The sequence below is a fragment of the Homo sapiens genome, chromosome 2 (genome assembly GCF_000001405.40).
Source record: "Homo sapiens chromosome 2, GRCh38.p14 Primary Assembly".
In the NCBI taxonomy this organism is placed as follows: Eukaryota; Metazoa; Chordata; class Mammalia; order Primates; family Hominidae; genus Homo; species Homo sapiens.
In genome coordinates, this window is record NC_000002.12 from 48914855 (window position 1) to 48926675 (window position 11821).

At 40.9% G+C, this 11821-nt stretch overlaps 1 pseudogene; it reads right to left on the minus strand.

Annotated features, from left to right (window-relative positions):
- Positions 1-210: 210 nt before the first annotated feature.
- On the minus strand, positions 211-1862 carry CTBP2P5 (CTBP2 pseudogene 5; annotated as a pseudogene).

Sequence of the window (11821 nt, forward strand, 5' to 3'; positions counted from 1 at the left end):
AGACTGAGGGGACCAGAGTCACAGGATAAGGATTTCCTCTTAATATTTTTTATTTTGATGTTTGAACTCCTGATGCAATATTCTAGAACAGGGTGTCAGGACCTGCTATGCTCAAGGGACTGACAAAGGAAAAAGCTCTGTTTATTTTGTGTGATTTCATGCACGGATGAAAAACTCAACACACAATAACAGAAGTTGGTTGTTAATAAATCACATCCTAGTCTTTCAGCACTTCCACAAGCAGATGACATTTTCAGTTTTCTAGCTCTTGTAGTTTTAACACTGCAACATCAATGATGGATATGTCCAGAATCAGTTAAAAAGACCGTCAAATTATTTTATTCCATCTATTTGTTCACTCTCTTGGTCCCAAGTGTATTGGAATGATTACCTTTTGGCATTCTCTGCTATTGTGCGTTGGGGTGCTCTCGATTGTCTCCGTGTTTTGTGGGCTGGTTGGGAGAGGGAGCTTGGGAAGGATGTACCACTGTCGGGAGATTGTGAATCACTGGGATGCCTCCAAGGATGATCCCTTCCGTGGCTGCAGGGAGTGCTCCTGGAGCCACACCCACGATGCCTGGCAGATACCTGTATGTGGCACCACTGAGCTCGAGATGAATTGCTTGCTGGTCTATTACTGACCAAGGCGCTGATGTGACAAAGAATTCTTGTTCACACAGTTTCTTAAGCTTTCTGAATGTAACCTGTGGTGGCTCAACAGATCTCGGTGGCAGCTGCCTCTCATCTCCAGTGACGCCTGCTCACTGTACCAGGCAGTGTGGGGAATACAGATAAAATTCCTTGCATCTTTAAACGGACCCTGAGCAAAGCCAAAGGGCTCTGATTCCTGCATGTCGAGGGCTGCGCCTCTATCCTGCTCTTCTTGAGGGCCTGTCCTAAGGCTTTCTTGTCCACCAAGCCACCACGGGCTGCGTTCACAAGGAATTCTCCCTGCCCCATCTGCTTTACAGTAAAGTCATTGGTGAGGTTGTGGTTATGTTCCTTGAAACTGCAGTGCATGGAGAGGTGGTCACTCTGATACAGCAAATCCTGCAGGGCATAGACCCTCTGCAGGCCCAGGGACTGCTCTGTCCCACCCTGCAAGTAGGGATTATAAAGTAAGACACTGAATCCGAAGGCCTTGGCTCGAACTGCAACTGCCTGCTCCGTGCCACTGAAGCCGAAGAGGCCCAGCGTCTTCGCAGGGATGCAGGCTGCTCCGGATCCACCTCTGCTCCAGGCTCCGTACCCACGTGCCTTCCCGCAGCGCCTCGTACAGCCACGGTTCCTCCGGTACAGATTGAGGATGTGGCAGATGGTGGAGTCGGCTGTTTCTTCCTCGGCTCGGAAGGGATGTTGCACACAGCAATCCCGAGCTCACAGCCAGCCTTGATGTCCATCCACATTGTCGTGGCCAGTGCCTATCTGCAACAGTCACTCTTAGGGCCTTGAACTTCTCCAGGTCCTCCCTGGAGAAGGTGATTTTGTGGTACGTCATGGCGCCCACGGCTTCATTTAAAACATTCTGGTGGATTTCCTGCGTGGACTGTGCATCACAGAAGGCCACGGTGGTCAGGTCTTTCAGGATGGGCATATCCACGGTGCAGTTGCAGTGGTCCAGCAACGCCACAGGGGGTGGGGTGCTCGGGGCCGTTCAGGACGTGGGGGCGTATACCTTCACAGACTGTGTCCAATCGCTGCCTCTTGACCTTGTGCTTATCCACAAGGGCCATTCTTATGGAACTGTGCAAATCTCAGATCAAATGGCAAAGCAATCCTCTAAGAACTTAGGGAAACTTGCAGGAGTCTGCGTGCATGACGCCACCATGAACCCAATATAAATCTGTCCACTAACTGTATAGCCTGATGTGATTTTTTTCTCTACTTCACTTTGAATGTCCTAAAGATTTTGCTTTATATTACTCTAGAGCTCATATATATTCACACTGTTTTATCCTCATTGAAATTTGTACCCTTTGGTATTAAAAAAATACCCCTCCCTGACTTGTTAAATACTTTTTAGCCTGAATTTAACTTTGTATAATATTCAGATGGTGATTTTCTTCTTTTTGTATGAGTTAGCCTAATATATTTTTGTCCATTCTATTATTTTCAGCTTTTCTGAGACTCTATATTCAGCACAGAATTCAATTTTATGTTGTGATATAATCTGAATATGTCTTTTTAAAGAGGTGAGTTCAACTCTTTCACATTTATTAGTATAACAAATATAATATCCCAATCCTCTATTTCTTTATATAGTACCTATTGATTTTCTCCTACGGCCAATGGACAGAGTGAGGGCATACCTTTTCCTCTCTGTTTCCTGCTCTGCTTCCTGGTAATACAATTATATTATCTTCTTACCATTTACCTTTGTATTGTTCTATATAATTAGGTCTTGGATTTGATTTTTTAAAAGCATATCCTTTATCCTCAGCAGAATCATTGTATCTACCATGCCTCTCATTTTTTTTTCTTCCTCTGTTGATATTTGTTGGTTATAATAATTCTACATAGTCAGGGCATATCACATTTGCATTTTGTTCTGTCACTCTTCACTTGGCATTTGTTTTAAGCTTGGTAATCCATTTAAGCACAGGGGACTTTGTTTTACTTGTCTTTTTGTTATAACTTTACTAGTAATCTTTGGTTGGATAGAGTTGGGCTTCTAGTAGATTCCTGTTGCAAATAAGAGGGCTTATGCAAATAATCCAATTTGTCCATTTTATTTAAACCACATAAAAATCCTTGAATCTCATCTTCTTTTCAGAAGGTTTCAAAGGTGTTGTGCTACTCTCTTCTACCACTGAACATTGCTATGAACATTTTCCCTCTTGACTTTGTGACTCTATTTTGTTGTTGTTGTTGTTGTTGAGACTAGATGGTAGCCTAACTAGAAGTGGTGTTTTTTTTTTTATTATACTTTAAGTTTTAGGGTACATGTGCACAACGTGCAGGTTTGTTACATATGTATACATGTGCCATGTTGGTGTGCTGCACCCAGTAACTCATCATTTAACATTAGGTATATCTCCTAATGCTATCCCTCGCCCCTCCCCCCACCGCACAACAGGCCCCAGTGTGTGATGTTCCCCTTCCTGTGTCCACGTGTTCTCATTGTTCAATTCCCACCTATGAGTGGGAACATGTAGTGTTTGGTTTTTTGTCCTTGGGATAGTTTGCTGAGAATGATGGTTTCCAGCTTCATCCATGTCCCTACAAAGGACATGAACTCATCATTTTTATGGCTGCATAGTATTCCATGGTATATATGTGCCACATTTTCTTAATCCAGTCTATCATTGTTGGACATTTGGCTTCGTTCCAAGTCTTTGCTATTGTGAATAGTGCCACAATAAACATACGTGTGCATGTGTCTTTACAGCAGCATGATTTATAATCCTTTGGGTATATACCCAGTATGGGATGGCTGGGTCAAATGGTGTTTCTAGTTCTAGATCCCTGAGGAATCGCCACACTGACTTCCACAATGGTTGAACTAGTTTACAGTCCCACCAACAGTATAAAAGTGTTCCTATTTCTCCACATCCTCTCCAGCACCTGTTGTTTCCTGACTTTTTAATGATTGCCATTCTAACTGGTGTGAGATGGTATGTCACTGTGGTTTTGATTTGCATTTCTCTGATGGCCAGTGATGATGAGCATTTTTTCATGTGTCTGTTTGCTGCACAAATGTCTTCTTTTGAGAAGTGTCTGTTCATATCCTTTGCCCACTTTTTGATGGGGTTGTTTTTTTCTTGTCAATTTGTTTGAGTTCATTGTAGATTCTGGATATTAGCCCTTTGTCAGATGAGTAGATTGCAAAAATTTTCTCCCATTCTGTAGGTTGCCTGTTCACTCCAGTGGTAGTTTCTTTTGCTGTGCAGAAGCTCTTTAGTTTAATTAGATCCCATTTGTCAATTTTGGCTTTTGTTGCCATTGCTTTTGGTGTTTTAGACATGAAGTCCTTGCTCATGCCTATGTCCTGAATGGTAATGCCTAGGTTTTCTTCTAGGGTTTTTATGGTTTTAGATCTAAAATTTAAGTCTTTAATCCATCTTGAATTAATTGTTGTGTAAGGTGTAAGGAAGGGATCCAGTTTCAGCTTTCTACATATGGCTAGCCAGTTTTCCCATCACCATTTATAGATGCAATGCCATCCCCATCAAGCTCCCAATGACTTTCTTCACAGAATTAGAAAAAAACTACTTTGAAGTTCATGTGGAACCATAAAAGAGCCCGCATTGCCAAGTCAATCCTAAGCCAAAAGAGCAAAGCTGGAGGCATCACACTACCTGACTTCAAACTATACTACAAGGCTACAGTAACCAAAACAGCATGGTACTGGTACCAAAACAGATATAGACCAATGGAACAGAGCCCTCAGAAATAATGCTGCATATCTACACCCATCTGATCTTTGACAAACCTGATAAAAAGAAGAAATGGGGAAGTGCTGTGTTTTATGATTGGTTTGAGGAGTGTATTTGGCTTTCTCAGGCTGTTCCTAATTGGAAGCGGGTGGGAAGGGTTGCAGGGGTGGATGAGAACATGGAATTAAGCTGATAGTTCTTGACCAAGTCCTAGCTGTTTTGGGCCAGTTGCTACAGGGGTTGTTATTTGGTTTTCTGGTCACTGCAGAGTGTAGGTCATAGTTGTGTTTGTATATATGGTCTTGATATTGTCCATTTGTATAGTTCAGTCTCTCAATTTTGCTTTTTTTTTTCTTTTTTTGGACATTCTGATTATTTTTATTCTGGCTAACTTTAACTGTCTTCCATATCAATTACCTTCTCTGAAGTTTCTTAAACTTTATTTCCACTTAATTTTTTTCTTTCCTTCATGTCTCTTTATGTCTCATACTGTGTTAACTGGTGGTTGTTTTCCATTTTGCTCCTTCTAATTTTGCTTTTATTTCTGTGAGGGCCCTATTTTTTTCTTTTCTGAATGCTTCCAGCCCATATTTAGCTCTTCTGGTTTTGCTCTTTCTTCCTTGAGTTTTCGCATATGAGCTTTGTGTGCATGTCTAACAGAGGACATTGTTTTTTAGTTCTTTTAAATTTCTATTGCAGTTTTCCTTTTCTCCATGGGACTGTTCTGTATTCTTCTTCGCCTTTCTTTAAAAAGCATTTGCTTTTCTTTATTCTTTTCTTTTTTCCATCTTATCTTTGTATGAATTCTACGCTTTTTAAAAAAATGACTCAACTTTAAAAGAGGCAAACATTTCTTGACCCACTAAACTGTAAGGGAGGAGAAAGGCTATTCAGATTAGTATTTTTTTCTATGATCCAGAGTTTTGTGTGTAATTTCATTTAGTCTTCACTCAACAAAGATAGTCAGCTCTACTGCTTTTAATTTACTATTATTTTAAATACGTTTCTCTATTCTCTTCTGACGCCATAGACACAGATTGAAAACACATGTTTCTTCATTTATCCCAGCTTTCCCTGTTTCTTGGATCTCACAGATACACCCTCAGTTTGCATATCCCCGTCTTTCTATTACAAACTAAAATTGGCATCACAGTGTGTGCCCCTCACTTTCAAGGAGTAAATGTTGTCTCACGCTTTTTGGAAGCCGCAGTTTAGTCTTTCTCTCTAGAATCTGTTTTCTGGCTCCTTGCTGCATGGCCCCTTCTAAATTACAATTGTTGTTTGCAGCTCTTGAATTTTTGTAGGCAGAGTTGGTGTGTGCATGGGTGTCTGTCTGTGCTGCTATCACAGAATACCTGAGACTGGGTAACTTATATATAACGGAAATTTGTATCTCATAGTCTGGAGTCTGGGAAGTCTAAGATCAAGGCACTGGCAGATTCAGTGTCTGGTGAAAGCTTGGTCTTTCTGGTCTCTGCTTCCATGATAGCTCCTTGTTGCTATGCCCTCTGGAGGGGACTAATGCTGTGTCCTCACATAGCCAAAGAAACAAAAGGGCAAAAAGGGTCAAACACTGTATAAAGCCCCTTTAAAGGCCTTAATTTCATTCACAAAAGAGGAGCCCTCATGACCTAATCACCTCCTAAAGCCTTTACCACTTAATACTGCTGCATTGGAGATTAAGTTTGAACGTGATATTTGGAGGCAGGCAAACATTCAAACCATAGCATTTCACCCCCGGCCCCCCAAAGTTCAAGTCTTTCACATATACAAAATACATTCTTTCTATCTCAATAGCACCTAAAGTCTTAACTCAATGCTGATTGAATTCAAAAGTCTGAAGTTCAGAGTTTTATCTAAATATCATCTAAATCAGATATCACTGAGACACAAGGTATGATTCATTCTGAGGCAAATTCCCCTCCAGCTGTGAGCCTATGAAATCAAACGAGCTATATGCTTCCAAGATACAATGGTGGAACAGGCATAGGATAGACATTCTCATTCTAACGAGGAGAAATAGGAAGGACAAAAGGGGTAACAAGTCCCACGTAAGTCTAAAACCTAACAAGGCAAACAGCATTAAATCTTGGGGCTTGAGAATAATCTCTGACTCCATGTCTTACTTTTTAGTCACTTGGTTGGGGTTTGGTTCCCAAGGCTTCAGGGGACTCTGCTCCATGGCATTGCTGGGTACAGCCCATGCTACAGCTCTCATGGGTTGAGGCCTAGAGCCTGTAGCTCTCCTGGGCTAGACTTGGACATTGGTGGATCTACAGTTGTTCAGTCTTGGGGTAAGCCACACCACTAAGGCTTCATAGCGCATCCTCTTAGTGGAGGCTGTCTGCAGTGGCCCTGACCCCATAGCTGTAATGGGCATTGCCTTAATGGGGATGCTCTGTGGTGGCCCATCTCTGTGGAAGTTCTCTGCCTGGGCCCCAGGTCTCTCCAAGGTGCTGTTTGGAATCTAGGTGGCGGTAGCCATGCCTCCTCAGCTTGTGCACCCTGCACCTGCAGAATCAGTACCATATGGACACCACCAAGGCTTATAGCTTGTGCCCTCTGGAATGGCAGCCCAAGCCACACCAGGGTGGCTAAGGATTGCTGCATTAGCATGTGTGGAGCAGAAGCTTGAGGTGGCCCTGGGCAGCAAGGCCCAAGTCCCATGCTACCCTGGGCTCGCCCCTGGAAACCATTCTGCTTTCAAAGCCTTGGTACTCTGACCTATGGTGAGAGTGGTAGCCTCAAAGTTCTCCAAAATACCTTTCAGGTCATTCTTCCATCATCTTGATCAAGGCACCCAACTTTCTTCTATTTATACTAATCTCTCCATCAAAATGTTTGCTTAGCTACATCCTTGGTGTTCTCTCCAGAATGTGTTTTCTCATTTTTACAGGCTGAGAATTTTCCAATTAAGTTCTGCATCCCTTTTAGTTAAAAATTGTGCCTTTAGTTTATCTCTTTCTGCATTTTACTATAAGCAGTGAAGTAATTGCCATGCAGCCCGTTCAATACTTTGTTTAGAGATTTCTTCTGCCGAGGATCCTAGTTCTTCACTCTTAAGTTTCAACTTCCACAAAACACTAGGACAAGGACACAATTCAGTCAAGGACACAATTTGGCCTTTGCCACTTTATAACAAGGATGGCCTTTCCTCCAGTTTCCAATATCATATATTGATACCTATTTCCATTTAAGACCTCATTAGAATGGTCTTTAGTGTCTTTATTTCTACCAACATTCTGTTCACAACCACTTAGATAATCTGAGAGAAATGAGGCTCTTTCTACAACTCTTCTCTTCTGAGCCCTCACCAGGATCTCCCTGAGTGCTCCGTTCACAGCAATTCAGGCTTTTTCTTGCCTGTTCCTCCAAACTCTTTCAGCCTCCACCCATTATGTGGTGCCAAAGCCACATCCACAATTTTAATTATTTATTATAACAACATCCTACACTCAGTATCAATTTTTGTCTTAGTCTGTTGTGTTACTATAACAAAATGCCTGAGACCTAGTAATTTATAAATAATAGAAATTTATTTCTCACAGTGTCGAGGCTGGGAAGTCTAAGATTAAGGCACAAGTAGGTCTGATGTTTGGTGAAGGCCCAGTCTTTGCTTCTAAGATGATGCTTTGTTGCTGTGTTCTCACATGGCAGAAGCTGGAAGGGCAAACTAGACCAAGCTAGTTTCCTCCATCGAAAAACTTTCCTAATCCTATTCACAAGGGAGGAGCCCTCATGACCTAATCAACTCCTAAAGACCCCACCACTTAATACTGTTGCATTGGAGATTAAGTTTCAACGTGAATTTTGGAGGGATACGAACATTCAAGGCAGGGATCTGAGGTTTTAACTATCTTCCAGTTTTGCTGAAAGTGGACTTTCTTTTTGTTTCTTTTTGTTCTTGCCACTTTTGCATGATTTTTATCTTTTTTTTGCAAGATGATAAGTAGGAAATGTTGCAACCTCCTCTGAGATCAAGATAGGACCACTACACTCCAGCCACTCTTTGCCATCATGTGCAAATGATCATTTCAAAGTTCCCGTAGGAGGACCAGGGAATGATGGCATCTGGCAGTGGCTAGGAATGTCCCTCAGCATGGCTCACTCAAAAGAAGAAATTCCACCACTCCTGTGACTAGATCAATTTATTTCTCTCTCTGTGTTTTCTCCACTTCAGGTGGCATTTAAGTCGTCATATCCATAGTCTTCATTTTTAAAAATCTGGAGGAGCTGGTACCATTCCTTCGGAAACTATTCCAATCAATAGGAAAACAGGGAATCCTCCCTAACTCATTTTATGAGGCCAGCATCATCCTGATACCAAAGCCTGGCAGAGACACAACAAAAAAAGAGAATTTTAGACCAATATCCCTGATGAACATCGATGCAAAAATCCTCAATAAAATACTGGGAAACTGAATCCAGCAGCACATCAAAAAGCTTATCTACCATGATCAACTGGGCTTCATCCCTGGGATGCAAGGCTGGTTCAACACATGCAAATCAATAAACGTAATCCAGTATATAAACAGAACCAAAGACAAAAACCACATGATTATCTCAGTAGATGCAGAAAAGGCCTTTGACAAAATTCAACAGCCCTTCATGCTAAAAACTCTCAATAAATTAGGTATTGATGGGATGTATCTCAAAATAATAAGAGCTATTTATGATAAACCCACAGCCAATATCATACTGAATGGGCAAAAACTAGAAGCATACCCTTTGAAAACTGGCACAAGACAGGGATGCCCTCTCTCACCACTCCTGTTCAACATAGTGTTGGAGGTTCTGGCCAGGGCAATCAGGCTGGAGAAAGAAATAAAGCGTATTCAATTAGGAAAAGAGGAAGTCAAATTGTCCCTGTTTGCAGATGACATGATTGTATATCTAGAAAACCCCATCGTCTCAGCCCAAAACCTCCTTAAGCTGATAAGCAACTTCAGCAAAGTCTCAGGATACAAAATCAATGTGCAAAAATCACAAGCATTCTTATACACCAATAACAGACAAACAGCCAAATCATGAGTGAACTCCCATTCACAATTGCTTCAAAGAGAATAAAATACCTGGGGATCCAACTTACAAGGGATGTGAAGGACCTCTTCAAGGAGAACTACAAACCACTGCTCAACGAAATAAAAGAGGATACAAACAAACGGAAGAACATTCCATGCTCATGGGTAGGAAGAATCAATATCGTGAAAATGGCCATACTGCCCAAGGTAATTTATAGATTCAATACCATCCCCATCAAGCTACCAGTGACTTTCTTCACAGAATTGGAAAAAGCTACTTTAAAGTTCATATGGAACCAAAAAAGAGCCCGCATCACCAAGTCAATCCTAAGCCAAAAGAACAAAGCTGGAGGCATCACACTACCTGACTTCAAACTATACTACAAGGCTACAGTAATCAAAACAGCATGGTACTGGCACTCAAACAGAGATATAGACCAATGGAACAGAGCAGAACCCTCAGAAATAATACAACACATCTACAATTATCTGATCTTTGACAAACTTGACAAAAACAAGAAATGGGGAAAGGATTCCCTATTTAATAAATGGTGTTAGGAAAACTGGCTAGCCATATGTAGAAAGCTGAAACTGGATCCCTTCCTTGCACCTTATACAAACATTAATTCAAGATGGATTAAAGACTTAAATGTTAGACCTAAAGCCATAGAAACCCTAGAAGAAAACCCAGGCAATACCATTCAGGACATAGGCATGGGCAAGGACTTCATGTCTAAAACACCAAAAACAATGGCAACAGAAGCCAAAATTGACAAATGGGATCTAATTAAAGAGCTTCTGCACAGCAAAAGAAACTACCATCAAAGTGAACAGGCAACCTACAGAATGGGAGAAAATTTTTGCAATCTACTCATCCGACAAAGGGCTAATATCCAGAATCTACAAAGAACTTAAACAAATTTACAAGAAAAAACCAACCCCATTGACAAGTGGGTGAAGGATATGAACAGACAGTTCTCGAAAGAAGACATTTATGCAGCAAACAGACACGTGAAAAAATGCTCATCATCACTGGCCATCAGAGAAATGCAAATGAAAACCACAATGAGATACCATCTCACACCAGTTAGAATGGCAATCATTAAAAAGTCAGGAAACAACAGGTGCTGGAGAGGATGTGGAGAAATAGGAACACTCTTATACTGTTGGTGGGACTGTAAACTAGTTCAACCATTGTGTAAGTCAGTGTGGCAATTCCTCAGGGATCTAGAACTAGAAATACCATTTGACCCAGCCATCCCATTACTGGGTATATACCCAAAGGATTATAAATCATGCTACTATAAAGAGACATGCACACGTATGTTTATTGTGGCACTATTCACAATAGCAAAGACTTGGCACCAACCCAAATGTCCAACAATGATAGACTGGATTAAGAAAATGTGGCACATATATACCATGGAATACTATGCAGCCATAAAAAATAATGAGTTCATGTCCTTTTTAGGGACATGGATGAAGCTGGAAACCATCATTCTCAGCCAACTATCGCAAGGACAAAAAGCCAAACACCGCATGTTCTCGCTCATAGGTGGGAATTGAACAATGAGAACACTTGGACACAGGATGGGGAACATCACACACCGGGGTCTGTCGTGGGATTGGGGGAGGGGGAGGGATAGCATTAGGAGATATACCTAATATAAATGACAAGTTAATGGGTGCAGCACACCAACATGGCACATGTGTACATATGTAATTAACCTGCACGTTGTGCACATGTACTCTAGAACTTAAAGTATAATAAAATATATATATATATATATAAAGATTTAAGCAATAGCAATCCACTCATATATTTCCTAATATGTCTCATTTTCTGAACTAAAGATTAAAAATTTGAATTTGAAAAAAAATCTGATTTATAAGGTGTAACAATCAAGTATCTATTGTTTTCCTCTAGAAAAAAAAGGAATATTCTCTTTAACTTTTTACTGTTAAATAGTAGAAAGCAGACTGCAAATCAGTGTTTGAGATAGTATTTTGGGGAAAACCTGGGAATAAAGTTTGAACTTTGATCATGCTTAATTGGTGGCATGATAGTTAAAATATTTTATGATTTTTTTTTCCTTGAATCAGCTTTTCTTATAAAATTATCTCAGATCTAGCCTGATAAGAACAATGAAGAGATGAAGAGAAAGATGAAAGTAATCTCTGGTATGTGATTTTTGAGAGACTCTTGAAAACCCCCGTGGTCAAAAATGTGTCCTACATGGGCTTTTCTTCCTGCTTGACTTTGCAAGGATAGTAATGAATTCTTTTGAGGCTTCTCCTGCAGTCCTTTTTCAAAATGCAGATTTTCACAGGTGAGGCAATGCACCAAGGACATGTTTTTAACCAGCAGTGAGCTGATTATGAGCCTGTCTTCTCATTTGATTCACACAACTGTTCTTTGAGCAA